At 50.5% G+C, this 18,815-nt stretch overlaps 1 protein-coding gene across 1 annotated transcript in view, besides 3 other annotated features; it reads left to right on the top strand.

The window, feature by feature from the left end:
* The window catches only part of GRID1 (glutamate ionotropic receptor delta type subunit 1), a 767,244-nt gene that overhangs the window by 68,042 nt on the left and 680,387 nt on the right, over positions 1-18,815 (top strand). The window lies entirely within an intron of this gene.
* Positions 65-565: an enhancer, noted in NCBI's record as "H3K4me1 hESC enhancer chr10:88057946-88058446 (GRCh37/hg19 assembly coordinates)". NCBI's record gives its function as "activates a minimal SCP1, AML or CMV promoter by ChIP-STARR-seq in naive H9 embryonic stem cells {active_cell/tissue: H9 hESC(naive)}" and the evidence as "EXISTENCE:reporter gene assay evidence [ECO:0000049][PMID:30033119]".
* Positions 5,721-6,535: an enhancer, noted in NCBI's record as "H3K4me1 hESC enhancer chr10:88051976-88052790 (GRCh37/hg19 assembly coordinates)". NCBI's record gives its function as "activates a minimal SCP1, AML or CMV promoter by ChIP-STARR-seq in naive H9 embryonic stem cells {active_cell/tissue: H9 hESC(naive)}" and the evidence as "EXISTENCE:reporter gene assay evidence [ECO:0000049][PMID:30033119]".
* Positions 6,536-7,350: an enhancer, noted in NCBI's record as "H3K27ac-H3K4me1 hESC enhancer chr10:88051161-88051975 (GRCh37/hg19 assembly coordinates)". NCBI's record gives its function as "activates a minimal SCP1, AML or CMV promoter by ChIP-STARR-seq in naive H9 embryonic stem cells {active_cell/tissue: H9 hESC(naive)}" and the evidence as "EXISTENCE:reporter gene assay evidence [ECO:0000049][PMID:30033119]".

The raw sequence follows: 18,815 nt of genomic DNA, 5'->3' as shown, positions 1-18,815 counted from the left end.
ACTCTGGCAACTCTGTGTCTGGGAGAGTTGCAGGTGCCGTAGGGGTGGAGTGGGATTGAGAAACAGAGAGGGAGGTGAGGAAGCCTCGGGGGCATGTTTAGCTCCAGGATGAGTCCTGAAGGAGGGGCCTTTCCAGGGAGGTGGGGAGGGCGTTTCAGCCACCCCAGGAGAAGCACAGTAGAAGCCTGGGTCTCCAGGCCTGGGTGAGTCCTCACAAGAACGGCCAGGGCTGCCCATAGCCCCACACCCCCAGCACAGGGGTTCTGGAGTGCAGGGAGTGAACGTCAGGTGAGGCTGACCTTATAGCTAAAGAGACTCCTTTGTCTGAGTTTTTATGTAATACACAAAAATGCTATTACATTAGAATGGAAATAATAGAGCCAGACTCCATGGTTCTATTTTCATCTTCTATATTCCCTTCCAGTCCTTGGTCCATAGACATATTTTTAATTATGGCACAACTACAGCTTTGGTTGCAACTTCCTTTATTATACTGTAAACATTTTTCACTGTTGCTACAGTTTTCATAATTATCATTTCAATGGTTGCATAAATTGGCCATTAAATTGATGTTCTTTAATTTATTTAAACATCACCTTTTGTTAGAGGTTTAGATTGTTTTCTGTTTCTGGTTATTATAAATCATGTTGAACATCTTTTTGAAGCAGTCATTTCTTTCTAACGAATTATTTTCTCAGAAGAAGATTATTGGGTCAAAGAGTGTGGGCATTTTTATGGTACTTGCAATGGTAACGCCAAATTGCTTTCGAAAAGATCATTTCCTGTCAGTGTGCAAGAAGATTGGTTTTACCACAACTCAACAAGCATTTGATGTGGCAATTAAGCCTTTGTTTTTCATTTTCTGCTATTTAATAGATGTGAAGTGACCTCCCATTGGATTCCCGGAGAGGTGGATTTTCCTGTGTTTGCTAACAGCACCTTCCCATGGGTGGACTTTCTGTCCAGCCCATTCATCTGCTGGCCTCTGGGAGTTTTGTTTTTTATAACGGTTTGTGTGAACTCCTTATATTATAGTTATCAACGCTGCCTGACACACTGCTACAAATGTGTTTCATAGACTATTTTTAATTTTAGTTATCTTGTTTCTTTCCTACAAAGCTTTTGTACTTTTTATATTGTTGAATTATCTTTTTATTTATACTTTCTTTTATCAGTATGAAACTTGAGAAATTATCACTCCCTCCAAGGAATAGATAAATTTTTCCTTCTATTTCCTGCTAGGTTTCTTTCATTTGACTTCTCTAGTTGACTCCTTAATCTCTCCACCGTTTATTTTCTGATGTGTGAGGAAAGGTGTGTTTCTGAACTAATTACTTTTCCTCAAAACTATCAGCGCAATTTATTAATCAAGAATTCCTTTCCCCATGGCTTGTTGATACCTGCTTTGTAATGCATTAAATTCTTGTATGCAATTAGGTCTATTTCTAGATTTTTAAATTCTGATCCATATTTCTATTTTTGTGCAAGTTCTACAGTACTTTGTTATTGCTTTCTAATAATTTTTATATCTAGTTTCCTCTCATTTCTTTTCATTTATTGAATTTTATTTATTTTTCTCATCTATTTTCAAAATGATTTTAGAATAACTTTATATAATTCCTTGGAGAAATCCTTTTGAGATTTTGATTGAGATTGAATTAAATGTATAAGTTAACTTTTGGGAAAGTAACATCTTTATAACATAAAGTCCCATCTGGGAACAGTTATTTTCTCTATTTATTCAAGCCATCTTTATAGCTCTAAATAAAGTTTGGTAGTTTTCTTTACACGGGTCATGCACATCTCTAGTGAAGTTTATTTCTAAATAGTTATACTCTTTGTTGCTTCTGTGAATGAGATCTTCTTGTTCATTTCTAAAAGTATTTTTGCCTGTGTAGAATACAGTAGAATAATCATTTTTATGTATGTATGTATGTATGTATGTATGTATGTATGTATGTATGTATGTGTGTATGTATGCATGTATGTATGTATGTATTTATATATTTATTTTTGAGATGGAGTCTCCCTCTGTTGCCCAGGCTGGAGTGCAATGGTGCAATCTTGATTCGCTGCAACATCTGTCTCTCGGGTTCGAGCGATTCTTCTGCCTCAGCCTCCCAAGCAGCTGAGATTACAGGCACATGCCACCATGCCCAGCTAATTTTTGTATTTTTAGTAGAGACGGGGTTTCACTATGTTGGCCAGGCTGGTCTTGAACTCCTGATCTCAAGTGATCTGCCTGCCTCAGGCTCCCAAAGTGCTAGGATTAAAGGTGTGTCCAGCCTATTTTTTTAAAATCATACTTTTAATTTATTGTATAACCAAGATGGCAACAGCATTGCAGAATTTAAAAAGAAAACAAAGGAGGAACCACCATCTCACCACCTTAACAAGCAAATGGTTTTAATTTTTCTGTGGTTCTTTCTAGAACTTGTCCTCAAACAGACAGACATTGGGCACAGCTATAACCACAGTGATGATCTGTTTTGCCTCCAGTGGCTTCTTCTATAATACCATAGCATTTTCCTTCTTGTCACAGAATTTTGCTAATGGTTTCACTTAACGGTGAGCCACTGGGACTGAGTGTTGGTTCTCAGATGCCCTGAAGAGTGTATGGGGACATTGGAGATGGGCTGTGGCTGCCAGCCATGGTGTGGGAGCCACTGTAGTTAACTCAGGGCTGGTGGGGCCAGTGCTATGGGGAAACTGGCCACTTCCCAGTAGCACTAGCTAGGGCCGAGCTGAGCTAAGCCCCTCAAACCTCTCTGGCAACAGGAGGAGCAAGAAGGTAGGGACACTGTCTGTAGGGGGGATGGATGAGGTGTTTGAGTCAGCTGAGGAACTGCCCCTCCACAGTGCAGGTGAGCAGGTGCTTTCTAGATCTTGTTGGTGCTGGTGCCAGGTGGGCGAAGTTTACCCATCATTGGTGTCTTCCTCCTGGTCCTTTTGTCTCTCACATACCTGTTGAGTGTCCGTAGAATGTCGTTAGATGCTGGGGATATGGATGACCAAGCCAAGCTCAGGTATGAACTGCAGTAGCACTGGGCAAAACCCCAACCTGCAGCTAAGGGTGGAAAAAAAAAGAACACCCACGTGACCAGTTTTGGCCGTCATATCGCGTTTCTCCGGGCCATTCTTTCTCCACTCCGTCTGACCTTCCCCTCTCTTTCCGCATCTGCAACACCTCCTCTCTCCTCCATGCTGGCCACAGCCCCGAGCAGCAGAGTTTTGTTCCCTATATAGTTCACTGAGGAGAGAGAAGGTGGCAGTGGATGGCGATGCTCCATCCCCACACCTGCCTGCCTACCCACCCGTGTCCTGGACAACGCTCGGGCTCACTGCTGACCTGCCCATGTCCTGTCTGAGACGCCCTTTCCTTGGGCACTACATCCCATCCGTCCGCCTCCTTTGCTCCAGGCCATCACCCAGCAGTTCTCTCCCTCCTCTCCTTCATCATCAAGTTTCCTTCTCTAGTGGATTATTTCCATCTGCTCATAAGGACACTGTGTTATCTCCTGCCCTAAAGATTCCTGCGCTTGGTCCACTTCCTCTGCAGCTACTGTCCTCTGCGTCTCCTCTGCCGCTCCCCCACCCACTTACAGCGAAGCTCTTGAAAAGGCCGTTCTGTATGCTCTGTCTCCCATGCCTTTCTCTCCATTGCTCCTGTGCGCACTGTGGTCAGGCATTTGCCCTCACGACTCTCAGAGCTGCTCCAATGAGCATTCTCATGACTTATGTGTAGCTTGGTCCAGTGGCCCAATCTCAGTCCTTTCCTTACCTGTCCCGCCCCCACTGTTCCCCGGGCTCAGGACTGCAGCCTCCCTCCTCCTGGCTCTGTGGCGGGTGCACCTTCCTAGTCCCATTGCTGGGCTCTTCTCATCTCCCGACCTCAAAACACTGGCATGTCCCATGTCCCCAACTTTAATCATCTGTCTTCTGTTGTACTCCTTTTCTTGATGACTTCTGACCGTCTCACACCTTTGAATATCACCTACCCATGGAGGACTTTGCAGTCCTGCCAGCTTGCCTCTCTCGTTAGCTCTGGATTCTCTGTCCACTGCTTCTCCACTGGGATGACATAGGCTTCTTACACAAGCATGTCCCCAAGCTGGGTGCTTCAGCCCACACCAGCCCCCGTGAGGCTTCTCCATCTGCCCTCCCTCCAGTGCTCAGGTCCAGTGCCTTGGGGTCCCCTGCACTCTCCCCTCTTCCCATCCCCAGGAGCCCACCCTTCTAGCTCAGCCCACTGACCACCCCCATGGCTAAGCCACCATCGTCTCTCCCCTGGATTCTTGGAATGGCTTCCTGACAGGTCTCCCTGCCTCCGCCCTGTCCCACTTGGTCTGTTCTCATCATGGCACCAGAAAGATGCTGGTGCACACAGCTCACTCAGATCAAAGCTCCCAACAGCTCCCATCTCGCTAGAGGAAAAGTCAGGGTCCACACAGGAGTCGCCAGGCCTTGTGCTGCCCATCTGCTCCCCCAGGCCTCAGGGCTCACTGCCCTGGGCCACCTTATGCTGTTCTCCTTGCCTTCACCAGAACCGGTATACCTCTCTTAGAGACTCAACCCCAGAGCTTGCCCCAGGACTCCGTGAAGCCTCTACCCTCACTTTCTGGTGCTGACCAGGCCTGCCTAGCCTCCTCTCCATACTCCTCCAGCTTCTACACTAGGCTCTCCTGATCCTCTGCCTCGATTTAGTTTTACCCATAACAGTGATCACCCGCGAATATACTCTATCATCCACTCAGCCATATTTTTGAATTGACTTAAAATGTTTTATTTGACTTTATTGCAATAAATTTTTATTTATTATCTTATTGTTATTTTTTATCCATCAGCCATTTTTAATTTTACTAGAGCCTTAGCTCCAAGAATACAGACATCCTTGTCTGGTGCAAATGCACCCAGCACAGTGCCTGGACCAGAGACAGCGCTGACGACGTTTGTGGGAGGAATGAGTGGTGAATGAATGAATGAATGAATGAATGAATGCATTCCACCCCAGCTGCAGTGTCTCCTCCCCCACCCCTCCCTATCGTTTGAGTCTGTGTCTCTGTGCTGACAGGTTGGTGTGGATGCAGGTTCCCTGATGCTGCAGCCCTGAATCCAGGGCCTGGTGCTGGAAGCAGCAGGTTGCTTTGTGGGGAATACAAAAGGGTCTTTGCTCTGAGGATTGGTTTGGGGTTTTTGTTTGAAATGTAATATGCAGAATAATAACAAAAAAAGTCTTTAACATGTAAATGGCTCTGCTTGGCAGAGCCAAGTAATCAAATCAAATGGCTCTTCTTCTATGCCTACCCCATCCCCAAGGCATTGCTGGCGCTAGGAAGTTCCTCTGGGGCTTTGATAGTCAGCTTGTGGGGGTAGCTGCAGGGGCCTGAGCAGTGTGGGGGCCCTTCTCCTCAAGTCTCAGTGACTGGCATGCCTGGGCCAGGGAAAGACATGGGGAGGTAGGCGATGGCTCCTTCTCCCTCCCTGGCATTGGAGTGTGTAGCCCCCCAGCCATGGCAGCCCTGCATGGGCCACAGGGAAAGAAAGAAGGAGTGATAACAAAGCTGGGAAAGGTTGGAGCTCGAGGAAGACCCTGGGCTTCTTGAGACCCTCCCACAATAACCTGCAATGGCACATGGGTTGGGCAGAGGCAGCGCCGGCACAGCTAGGGCACAGGACACAGCTCTGGGCTGGGCATGGTGCCAGGCTCAGGAGTGAGAGACTGGGTCTGCAGCAGGGCCTCTGGGAGTCTGAGGTCTGTGATTTTCGTAGAGTCCAGGCCCAGTTGGCTTTCTTTTCACAAGGGCCCATCCATCTGCCCCCATCCATCTCTTCACACAGACACCCTCACTCACACCCACACTCACAGAGCTACATTCCACACTCACATCTGCCACACTCACACACTCATACATATACAGTCCCACACAAACTCACGTTAACATCCACACTCACACCCACACTTGCATACACACACCCACAGACACCGTCACACTCACACCCACTCCCGACACTCACACCTGCGCACACTCGCACCCACCCACCCACATCCACACTCACACTCACCCACACTTGCACACACAGCCACACTCCTCACATTCACATGCACACACGGAAATGCCTTGGCCCTGAAGAGAGGGAGGAAGGCAGGGGTGAAGGGAGGTACAGGGGGACCCCTCCCCAGCCTCAGGGCAGCAGATTGCTGTTTGCTCCATGGGACCAGAGGAGGTGCCAGGGGCGACGCTTATCTGTGAGCTCAACTCCAGTTTACCAACAATTGCTGTAGGAGCTGCTCTTCCTGAGAACTGAGACTTTCTTCCCGGCATGGTGATGCTTCCCTAGGGCATGTGGCTGCAGGGCAAAAGGGGAATCCATTTTCCCAACAGGGAAATGTCACCCTGTGCATCTTGGCTGCTGTCAGTCCTGACAATCTCCTGAAATGAAGCTTGCAGGTGAGCAAAGAAGAGCTTCCTGCAGCTCTGAGGCCTGCGGATGTGCCATCCTTCCCAAAGCAGGAAGCAGGGCTGGAGGCAGAGCCTAGAGGTGGCGCCCTTGTGGCTTCTCCCCTTGGTCAGGTTCCCCTGAGTCTGTGCTGGGGCGTGCGTGCTTTTTCTTGCACAAGCCTGCAGCCTCTGTCGTGGGCCTGACCTGGAGGGTGTCTGTGGAGGGGCTTCCCTGACCCTGTGTGTGGGCCCCAGTGCCTCCTCTGCTCAGGTTTCCAGGGCTGGCAGCCCCAGACTCCAGGTGATGATGACAGTGAAGGAGAGGAATAGGCCCTGGCTTGAGAATCAGACTGGCCTGGGTTTGAGTCCTTCTCAAAGGGCCCTGGCTGGGTAACTTGCCCTTGATTTCCTCTGTCAGGTGGGCATGATAACCCCTCGATCAGGGCCGCATGTTGAATTGCTGCCACCTGCCCCCGCCCCAGACCTTGCTGTGCTGTGTCCGTGTGTCATGGGCTCAGGGCATGGTGCTAGCATTGATGGAATGGTCACTTTGCATCAGCCTTGGAGATGAGCTGATGTGGTACTCATTCCCACGGAGCTCTCCGTTTGGTGGGGGAACCAACACAGAAACAGAGACTTAGCGCTGTGTGATCTTGCACCAGCTGAGATGAACAGAGAGAGTGGTGTTGGGGACAGCAGCCCAGGGCAGCCCAACATTCAGGAGAAGGTGTCTGGAGGGCTTCCTGGAGGTGGATGGCCTGTGCTGAAGCCCAAAGGCTGAGTGAGAGTCTTGTGCTGTGCCCCTGGGCTGAGGCAGGGCTGGTACTGGCGAGGCTGCTGTGGGGTGAGCCTGGTACTGCCCGGGGTTGGGGAGTCCCTCTCACTCAGCCTGTGCCTTCCCTGGGAGTGACTCATTTCTGCTTTCCCTGGGCTCCTCAGCTTCCCTTCCTCTAGCCTGGTCCTAACACGGTCTCTGGGCCAAAGTCTAGGGCCAGGCTAGGGCGAGGAGTCAGTGGGGATGGAGGTCAATGGGGATGGAAAGTGGGGGTCTCATCCCCTTCCTGCCTCTTGTTGTGTGCTCTGTGCACCGCGCTGTGGATCTGGAGGCCCTCTGGGCTCTGCTTTCCACCCCCCGCCACAGGTCCCCTTCTCTGCTTTGTCCCTGGGCCTTGTGCCTGTGGCCCATGGTGGCCACACTCTCTGGGGGCTCAGAGCTGCTGGGAGCAGAGCAGCGCAGACTTCCAGGATCTTCACAAGCTGTCCTGGTCCTGGGAAGCTCTTGGGACCTGGAGCTTTGCTGCTCCTCCCTTTGAGCCTTTCAGGGACTGGGACCTGGACTGTCAGAATCTCACTGCTGCCCTGGGCCGCTTCCTCTCCAGGACAGCTCTCTGTCCTGGGTTTCAGGGGTGCATTGTGGCCTGAGGAGGTGTTCTCTCTTGCTGGTCTATTAAACAAAGCCTAGGTTCATTAACAGCGGGAAAAGACCCTCACCTCATGATCCAAGCTGACTCATTCTTGGCTTTCCACAACTGCCTCTTGCCTTATTGTTCATACTACTTCCTATTTCTCCCAAACATATCATGGTCTTTCATGCTTTATCTTTGTGGCTCTCTTACCTGGAACATATTTTATTTTATTTTATTTTATTTTATTTTATTTTTGAGACAGAGTCTTGCTCTGTTGCCCAGGCTGGAGTGCAGTGTCATGATCTTGGCTCACTGAAACCTCTGCCTCCTGGGTTTAAGCAATTTTCCTGCCTCAGCCTCCTGAGTAGGTGGGAATATAGGTGTGCACAACCACACTTGGCTAATTTTTTTATTTTTATTTTTAGTAGAGATGGAGTTTTGCTATGTTGGCCAGGCTATCCTCGAACTCCTGGCCTCAAATGATCTGCCTCCTTGGCCTCCCAAAGTGCTGGAATTACAGGTATGAGCCACCGCACCTGGCCGGGAACATCTTTTAAATGATGGCTTTGATGTGTCCTCCCCAGGAGCACCCCAACGCTCTCAGCCAGAATGAGGCACTGCCTCTTCAGTGCTCACAAGAGCAATTTGCAGTTCCTCTTAGTTTTATTAGGCTCCATGTTTTAGGATAATTATTCATTTATCTATAATTGAGTCCACTTATTTTTGCAGGCATGAGGAGATGTATTAATCAGGACTGTTTGTTGAAAGTGATAAAAATACCAGTTAAACTTGTTTAAGTAAAAAAGGGAATTCGTTTTAGCTTATATGACAAAGTGGTCCAAGGATGGGCTAGCTTCAGGCATGGCTGGATCTAGCGGTTACGCCTTCTGCTCTTGCTTTCTCTTTCTTGCTCCCTCGCGGTGTCTTGTTTCTCTTCTTCTCTCATTGGCTTGACTCTTAGGAATGTCCTTCCCACCCAATGACAAAGAGGAACCACCACAACTCCAGCTTGTCTGGTCTTTGGTGTCCACAGTCTCAGCACAAGTAAGAGTCCCTGTTTGGAAAGCTCAGGCAAAGGCTTTAAGGATATAGTATTGGCCCAGCTGGGGTGGCTGCCCATCCCTGAACCAACTGGGGTGAGTAGGACACTCTGTTTCGTTGGGGTGGGCTGCCACTGTGTCTGGCCAGCTCACTAGAAGTCATGGACTAGGAGTAGAGGGAGGAGGCTCTGCAAAAGAAAATCGGGGTGGGAGGCTGGGCAGGATGGATGAGTGGCTGCCCCCTACAGGAGCCATTAGAGCTTGGTAAGCAGGAGCTGGGGAGATCAGAGCCATATTTTAGAAAGATTAAGCCAACTGCAGTTAGGAGAGTGGCACGGGGCAGTTGGGGGCATGGGGGCTGGGCCACCGAGAGGCAGCATCCTGGGTTCCCTGGAAGCAGAGGTGGAAGAGGCTGAGGTAGCAGAGCTTGGCTTGGCCTGTGCTGAATCACCAAGGGCAGCCGAGGGGTCTGAAGGGGTGATGACTGCTTCAGCTGGCCGATGTTCTGTTTCTCAGGGATTCACAATTAGGATAATGACATGAGGGATGACCTTGCCAGCAGTGGTCTCCAGGCCCTTCCCCTCTTCCTCACTCAGTTTCATGCTTCTTGGGGCCCTCTGTTTTTCATGGCTGGGGCTGATGTTCCTGGGCATTAATTGGTCTTCATTAGACAGTTTGAGAGTTGAGGATGCTTTGGGCCTCACTGTGTCTCTCCCAACCAGCACTGGGGGTCCATTGGTCTGCCAACCTTGAGTGACAGGGATCTTCTGAGTCCATCTTTCAAGTGTGTAGCTCTAGTGACTGTGCTCTTGGGGCCCAGTGGGAGAAGAGGCATGGGAGGCAGAACAGTGGTGTCTACACATATTTTTGTTCACATAGAAGCCTGGACAGACATGGTGGGGTGAGCTGTGTCCAGGGCCATGTCCTATTGCTGAGCAGGAGGCCACTAAGTGCTGGGGAGTGGTGGGGCCTCTGTTCTCCTGCAGCCTTCACCCCATGCTTGTGTGGGGTGTCTTGGTGCCTGCGCTGCCTGCTGTGTTCATGAGGCTGGCATAGCCAGTCGGCCCTGCTCATAGAAGCGCTCTGGCCGTCTCTGCACACTGAAGAAGAGGTGACGGCCACCCACTGTCAGATTGACATTATCTGGCAATTTGAGTGCTGCCGCTTTGAGGTTTGGGGTGATAATGGTGATGTTTGAGAGGGAACCCAGAGACCCAGGTGCTGCTTTGAGGAGGCTCCAACATAACTAAGCTACTTTTCCCCCAGAACGCAACCGAGAGGCAAGCACGGCTGTTCAGCAGGACTCCTGGGTTCTCACAGAGTTCCACCTTGTTTCTGGTTTCTGAGTCAACTGAAGACCAAGTTGCTGAAGTGGATGTTGACCACATTCTAGAATAGCAGTGTGGTTGCTTCCTAAAAGCCTTACTTGTAGGCATATTAAGCTGAATGAACATTGCCAGAGAGAACCCCCTCCCTCAAAACTGTAACTGATCACACACTGTCCAAACAGCAGGTGCCGTTATTGTCTCTGGAGACTGGAGACTGTGGGCTCTCCCAGGCTCCCTGGGGATGTTCTTGGTCAGCCATGCCTGAACGCTCCAGCTGAGGAGTTACTGTTCAGGAGACATGAGGGACTCTTGGTGTTCGCTGCTGAACTCTGCTCTCGCAGGTGAACAGGTTCGTGGCCAGTGAGATCCTGACTTGTGGGGAATGTGGCAGGTGGGCAGATGTGAGTCTCTGCCCTCACTTTGTGCCCATAGACTCAGCTTCTGCCGGGCAGCCTGGCATCTTCCTGCTGCCTTTTCCCCAGGAGGCAATGGTACAACTCTGCAACAAGCATCTTTGGTGGAGGCAGAGCATGGCAGGGGCTGGGCAGGCTTGAAGGGTGGTGCTAGGCCTGCATGGAGCATGTGGAGCTGGAGGAAGAGACCCTTATTGGCTAAGGAGCAATTTCCTGGAGTCTTGTGGGTACATCCTCTAGTGATCCTGATGCCAGCCACCTTCTGCCATCCTAGATATGAGTGTCTAGGAAACCACAGAAAATCTCTGGCAACAGGAATTTTGGGCTGAAACCATGTGGCTCAGAAGTTAGGCTGACCACCGAGAAACCATTTAAACTGTGAAACTTTTTAAAGTGAAATTAATAATTTCACTAAAGAACAGGTGCAACGGCTGTGCTGGGCAAACGAGGATACGCGGTCACCTGTTCAGGGAAGGCTCTGTGGAGGGGCACAACCAGCCCTCTCCTGTGGACTCTGATGGTTGTGGTCAGGGCTGGGGCTAGGAAGTAAGGACCCAACGTGGCAGGTTGGCCTGAGTATTGAGATGTCAGGACTGGTCCTGGTGCACAAGCCCATTTGATCCAGGGTGCCAGTGCAAGCACTGTGCAGTAGTTCATTTTCATTTTTTTTCTCTGTTGCAGAAGACACTTGGTAAAACAATAGCAGCAGCTGCTTTTAGTTAAGTGGTGCGTTACTGGGACCAGGAATGGTGCCCAGGGCTCTCCCCTGATTATCTCTTGCTTTGAGGTAGGCACCCAACTTTTAGTTACGAGAGAATTGAGTCAATGACCTGACTCAGAGGAACTTCCAGTCCCTCAGGGATACAGGGGGGAATTTGGGGACTGCAGTTCAGGCTTCTCATATGACAAGGTTGCTTTCTGTCTGGTCCTGTTTCTACCCCAGCCTCACCTGCAGCTCCTTCCCCACGGGACCTCCTGTGCCCAGGCATTCCATCTACTTCCGTGCCTCCAGAGCTGTCCTGTGCATCCTTCTGGACCTCACCTTCTCAGCCTTTAGGGTCCTGCTCTGCTGTGCTCCTCAAGTCCCTACGGAACTGCCTGGAGTCACGTGTCTGCCTCCCTGACCAGCCTATAAGAGCATGGCTCATAGGAGCAACACCAGGTGGCCATGTCTGTGGCCCAGGATCTTGCAGGTGCCCAGGCAGTGGTGGTCATACCACAGTGGGCTTTCTGCTGGGATGGGTCTTGAGGGCCCTGATTTCTGCTCCTCTGGTTTTCTGCATGGGTGCTGACTTCTTCCCACTCACAGTAGATAGCTGTCAACCCTGCCGGCGCCCAGAGCGGAGAGCTGTCAGGCTCTGCCCCTGGGGTAGGTACCGTTGTTGTCCCATTTTACAGATGAGAAAGTGAGGTGCAGAAGGCAGGTAACTCCCTCACGGTCACATGGCAGGGCAGGACTATGATGAAATCCTGCCTCTATCTGACCTGATTCCAGGATCTTGACAATTTGCTGAGCCACTGAGAAGTGTTTCCTATCTGCCTCGTGATGCCACGGAGAAGCCATTTGTGGAGCGCATCCTGTACTGCAAATTCCTGCCTGGCTTCTCGTGGCCTCACTCGTGGGAGGACGCAGGGAATTCGTGGAGCCCATGGTGGTTCCCCCAAACCTAGTAAAAAGGCAGGGAAGGGAAAGATGCCCAAGTGTGGAATCTTTTGCTGACGAAGGAGCCATGGAGATGGTCTCATCTCCACCCACGGAGACACAGGCTGCTCCCTCAGGCGTCCTTCCTGGGTCCTCAATAAAGGCACAGCACTCAGGTCAGTGCTGGGTTGGTCCAGGCTCACCGTCATGCTTGTTTCCTCATCTGTAAATATCTGTCCCTTTATAGGGTTGTGGTGAGGAACAAGATGATCCTATAACTATACATCTACACTTCTATATACCTATGCACCTATATCTATGCCTCATCTATACCTCTCTCTACCTATACCTATACCTACAGGCTACCTCTAACCTCTACTTATACCTACACCTACAGCCTACATCTAACGTATCCCTATCCCCATCCCTATCCCTATCCCGACATCTAATTTAAATCTATATCTGTATCTACATCTCACCTATACTTATACCAATTTCTAGACCTAAACCCACATCTACAATAAGTTCTTGCTTAATGTTGTTGATAAGTTATTGGAAACTTTAAGCAAAACAATGTACAGCAGGTTCTCAAATACGGTTTTGCTCAAACGTCTTTTCATTACAATGTTGATGAGAAAAAAATTTGGTTTCCATTATACATTGTTTCACTTAAAGTCCTATCAGTGATGTTAAGTAAGGACTTACCATATATCGAATCTATGCCTTGACCTATTTCTACTCCTATTCCTATTCCTACATCTAATCTGTACCTATTCCTAGACCTACAGCCATGCCAACACCAGCACCTACAGCTGCGCCCTCATCTCCGGTACATATCTCAGAGCAGTGTCTGGCATCCTGGAAGCCCTGTGTGGGCGTGCTGACATATGGTTATTATTACTGCAGGCCAGGTGGTGGGCACAGTGCTGGTCTCTTGGAGGTGGCACAGGGTTCCTGTGTTGTTGACCCAGTCGGCAGGGGCCCTGGGCTGGGGCATTTAAACAGCATGTTGATGAGAAGCTGCGCCTTTTGTTTCTGTGACAGGCGGTGGCTGGAGTCTCCCTGGCTGCATCCTCTTTGTGGGTCATTAAGAATGTCACATTTGGTTTAGGCAAGCATGTCACCACAGGGCTTCACCATGAGTGTCATGTGCAGGGCGATCCTCAGCATGCCATCCAGGAAGTCCCTGCTAGCAGCCTGAGACAGAGGCGGGAGAGGGTGTCTGGCTTCAGAGCCATCGCTGTCAACTGATGTTCACCTGGCTCAGGGGAAGCAGGGCCTCATAGGCTGTGGAGTCTGACACTACTGGTGCTGGTGTGGTGTTTGCAGGGACACTCTGGATGCTTTCCCTGGGCTGAGGAGGGGTAGAGGCAAAGGTCCCTGGCCATGGGGGGTGGGTTGGGGGGCTCGCTCCTCTCCTCTTCTTGACTGCCTCACTGTGGAGGGAGGACTGTCCACCTGTGGGCTGGAGAGGCATGGCATGGTCTCGTACCTTCCAGCAACCCCATTACTGTTGTCCCCATGGTTTAGGTCTTGACATGGAGGCTCGAGAGGTGACAAGGCTGTCCTGAACCACTCTGCAGACCAGGGTAGAGCCAGACCTGAGTGGCCACAGCCCAATTTTCTTCCCCTATACCACAGTGCCCACTGCCCACTCTGCCATCTCCCTCTGCTGCGACCCTATGCCCCGTCCTCAGACTCTGACCTGGGATTTTGGCTCCTGACAGTGGATGGCATTGTGGCCTTCCCCACAGCATCCACGTTTACTGAGGGCGCTCTCTTAGCTTTTCTGCCTGCCTTGACTGCCATACTGAGAGCCTGTGGCCTGGCAGGCCCACATTCGCTGCTTTGGGGTCTGCTCTGAGAGGCCTGGCTGTGTGATGGAGCACAGCAGCTTTGTTGGCCCCCACCTGGGAGCTGGCAGAAGAGCTGGTTCAACTCCGCAGTGGTAGGGCAGCCCCCAGCTCAGCAGTGGTGGAAGTGGGTGTGTCCTGCGAGCTGGTGCTCTGGTTTTGTTCACAGAGGAGCATTTGTAGTCTCCACGGCTTGGAGATGGAACCTCTCAGTTCCTGTGTGCTTCAGTGAATCAGAGCCTGATTAGGAGGTGGCTGAGCTGCTAGAGGAGCCTCCATTTGTAATTGAAAATGCAGCAATGACCAGACAAGGGTGGGCTGTGTGTGTGTAGGGGTGAATGTGTGTGCAAGTGTGTGTGATGGCAGATGTGTTGTGTGCAGGTGTGTGTGTGAAGGCAGATTGAAGACAGGTGTATATATGCAGGTGTGTGTATGAGGGCAGGTGTGTATGTGTAGGTATGTGTGTGAGAGCAGATGTGTGTATGCAGGTGTGTGCATGAGGGCAGGTGTGTATATGCAGGCGTATGAGGGCAGGTGTGTAGGTGCTGGTATGTGTGAGGGCAGGTATGTATATGCAGGTGTGTGTATGAGGGCAGGTGTGTATATATGCAGGTGTATGTGAGGGCAGGTGTGTATGGGCTGGTGTGTGTGAGAGGGCAGGTGTGTATATGCAGGTGCATGTATGAGGGCAGATGTGTATATGCAGATGTGTGAGGGCAGGTGTGTATATACAGGTGTGTGAGGGCAGGTGTGTATGTGCAGATGTGTGTGAGAGGACAGGTGTGTATATGCAGGTTTGTATGTGAGGGCAGATGTGTATATACAGGTGTGTGTATTAGGGCAGATGTGTGTATGCAGGTGTGTGTGCAAGGGCAGTGTGTATATGGAGGTGTGTGTATGAGGGCAGGTGTGTATTTGCTGTTGTGTGTGAGGGCAGATGTGTATATACAGATGTGTGTGTAAGGGCAGGTTGTATGTGCAGGTGTGTGTGTGAGGGCAGATATGTGTATGCAGGTACACACCTTATTTGCATATGTGTATGCATGTGTAAGGGTAGGTGTGTGTGTGCATGTGTGTGTAAGGGCAGGTGTGTGTGTGTGTGTCATGTGGGCAAGCTACCCAGCCACAGCTCTTTCCAACCAAGTGCCTGATGCCAGGCCCTCCTTCTCTAGCAGGACAGTTTCACTAAAATCTGCTTGGTCCTGCTGAATCCTTCCTTCCAGCCAGGCAGTGGGCTAGATACTGGGGCCCCTCACCACATGTGGGGAGCTGAATGAGGTGAAAGGCCTGGGTGCTATCTTGAGGAGGTCTGAGTCCTCCCTTCCCCCTCCCCAACCTGTGCAAATAGCACAGAGGAAGGGATAGTGTGGGGGCTGGGCTTTTCCAGAGGAGAGTCTCCTAACCCTATGTGGGGAGGAATCTCCAGGGAGGACTACCTGGAGGAGATGGTGCCAAAGCAGAGCCTTGGAGGATGAGCTGGAGGAGTTGGCCAGGCACACAGCAGGGCAGGGAGGGCATTCCAGGCCATGAGGGCACATGGACAGGCAGATAGGTGCCTAGGGTAGGGGGCTGGTGTCTTAGAGGAAGTGAGAGCAGTTCAGAAGGTGTAGGGGATGGCAGGGGTAAGGGTGCACTGGTGGGCAGAGGCCTGGCCCTGACTGTGAAGGGTCCTTATGCCACCGGGGAGAGGTTAGCCTTGACTGTGAGCCAAGTGGGTTGCTGCTGATTGGCTTCAGAGTGACATGTGGCAAGAGTGACATGGACAGACATGACTCTTGGAGGGTTTCTCTGCTGAGGGTGGAGAATGGGTTGGAGGCAGGGCTGGTGTGGACATCTAGGAGGGAGATAATGGCTGACCTTGGGCCATGGCAGTGGGGGGCTCAGAGGATGTGGGAGGGGAGCCCCCAGGGAAGGGCCACAATCCCTGAATTTAGGGGGTGTCTAGTGATAGAGGCCAGCACTCTCTGTAACTCCCTGGGAAGAGCCCTCCGTGCCCACCCTTGGGTACTGCCATGCTTAAATGGTCTTGCTGCTCATGGTCGCTCTTTACTTACATGCAAACTTGCTCCAGTACAGCCCCTTTTTTTCCTGGGCTGATGAGGATTCAAGAGCTTGCTGGGGAATTGCACTCTTTGAACTGTTCCCTGAGATGGACCACGGATCCCCTGTGAGGACAGGCTCAGCCGGCACCTGGATCCATGGAAGGGCTGTGCTCTGAAAACTCCCTGCCTCTGATTTCCCTGGTGGAGTGAAGAAAACAAAGGCTCGGCTCCTGCTGTGGTTTTCTGCATTTTACAGATGAGGCAACTGAGGCCCAGAGAGGTCCAATGATTTGCCCAAGTCACCCAGGGAGAGAGAGGGACACCCAAGCCTCCTGCCTCTACCTTTGGAGGCTGGGATGGGAGCAGGAGGGCACTGCTTGAACATCTGCTGTATGCTAGGATTTGCAGGGGCTTCATGAATTCACTTTCCCATTTCATTCTTCCAGTAGCCATGCAAGCTGAGAATGGTCTTCCCAGTTTGCAGATGAGCAAACCAAGGTTCTAAGTGGTGGAATCACTTGTCCAAGGCGCCACTCTGTGGGATGGGGATGCAAACCCAGATGACTGGATGCCAGTGTCTGTCTGAACCTAACCACTGGGCTATTGTGCTTTCCACTGAGGAGTATGGGAAGGAGTGGCATTTAAGCAGACCTTACAGAAGGCAGGAGGCCCCCTCCCTGAGCAGTGCTCTACCCCCATCCTAGAACAACTGTGGGCTGGAGGAAGGAGTCCTTCCCAGGCCAGGGTCTCAACCTGGCTGCCCAGCAGAATCATCTGGGAGAGCTTTTAAAGTGTGCTCAAGCTCTGATCAATTGAAATTGCATTTCTGGAGATGGGACATGGGCATCTACATTTTAAAAAACCTCCCCAGCTGATCCTGATGCCCAATGAAGGCCTAGGACTACTGTCCTAGGCCTCAGGCCATGGGTCTGTGGGCAACAGGAGCCCAGAGCACCTGCTTCCTTTCTGTAACTGTTGGGCATGGCTCTCCTGAATTTGGAAGATCTCATGAACAACAAAGTTGCTTTTGGCCATAGTTCCCCATGCTGATTTTCAGATGAACTCCAAATAAGCCAAGGTTAGGCACAACCGCCTGCCCAGTGGGTAGGAGAGAAGGGTAGATGAGGCAGCAGAAATGTTACAGTTTTCCTCTAGCCCAGGACAGCTCTGGTGAGAAATTCTCCCTGAAGAGCCAGCCCACCTTGCTGTACCCCATAACCCCTCTGCAGCCACTGGCTGCAATAGGTGCAGCTCTGCTGTGCACCTCAATCTCCTCTGCAATCCCAGCAGCTCAGCGTCAGGCAGGAAGTAAATGAAAGATGCCTTTCCCTCACCACACCATTTCTTGCCTCTCTTTATCCAAGTGTTCCATTTCCTTCCTTTTTCCAGATGAAGCCACTTCCTCCCCCCTCTTCCAACACTTACCAATGGTTTCTTTTGCTGTGCCAGGCCCTGATGGAGGTGCTTTGGGTTGTATAGATGAGCCAGATGTAGGCTCTGCCCCCTCCCTATTGCATTCTCAGTCAGTACAGGAATTAGACAAGGAACAAGTCCCAAAGGGAAAATGCCCCTGGCTCCAGGCGAGGTTCAGAGGAAGGGTGATCCCCATGGTTGGTAGAATCAGGGAGCGCTTCTTAGAAAAGCAGGTATTTTCAGCCTGTCTGTAAGGGTTGAGAAGGATTTGGATGTGAGCAGAAGGAAGAGTAATCGAGGCTGGAGAATGAGCTATAAAAGGAAAGAAGGAGGAAGGGAAAATGGGGGAGAGAAAATACATGGATATGTTATGCACTGACAGGGGAAACTATAGAGGAGGTATGGGGAGCAGTGAATCCAGTTAGCTGGCAGAAAGGGTCAGTGAAAGGAGGTTAGGGGAAAGAACATTGGAAAAGTAGGTAGGGGGCCAGGTCATGGCCTTGAAAGCTGTGCTGAAGAGTCTGGGCTTGATTCCATAGGGAAAGGCATGATGAAAGCTTTTGTAAAATAAATGAAGGGAGGAGAGGTGGAAGCCACTCAGCCCCTGCTACAATGACTTAGGAGGGCTTTGCTCCTCCTGCTTTCACAAGGGTTCTCCATAATGAATGTCTCCATGTTAACTATTAAAACTCTCTTTGCAAGTGATACCATTGCTATTCTGAATCTACTGGCCATACTGAGGAGCTTGTTGAGTTTGGCATTGACTGTGCTCCTGAAATGAAGAACAAGGAATCATTGAAGGAGCAGCAAGTAGAGGAGGGAGAAGATGAAGGATAAGTTGTCATGGTGGAAATTTTGTCAGACTAGTCCCTAAATACTCTATTTTTGATGCTATTGTGAATCATATTTTTAAAATTTTAAATTTGTAATATACAATTGAGTTTTATATATTGATCTTTAATTTTATTTGAATTTATTTTTAGAGACAGGGTCTAGCTCTGTTGCCCAGGCTGGAGCACAATCATAGCTCACTGTAGCCTTGACCTCCTGGGCTCAAGCAATCTTCCCATCTCAGCCTCCTGGGTAGCTGCGAGTAAAGATGTGCACCACTATGCCTGGCTAATTTTTAAATTTGTGGAAGAGATGAGATCTTGTTATGTTGCCCAGGCTGGTCTCAAACTCCTGGCCTCAAGTGATCTCTTGTCTGTCGCTCCCAAAGCACTGAGATTAGAGGCATG

Source organism: Homo sapiens, chromosome 10 (genome assembly GCF_000001405.40).
Source record: "Homo sapiens chromosome 10, GRCh38.p14 Primary Assembly".
Lineage (NCBI taxonomy): Eukaryota > Metazoa > Chordata > Mammalia > Primates > Hominidae > Homo > Homo sapiens.
Note: the sequence above shows the minus strand (reverse complement) of the source record. Positions and strands in the feature narration are given on the sequence as shown.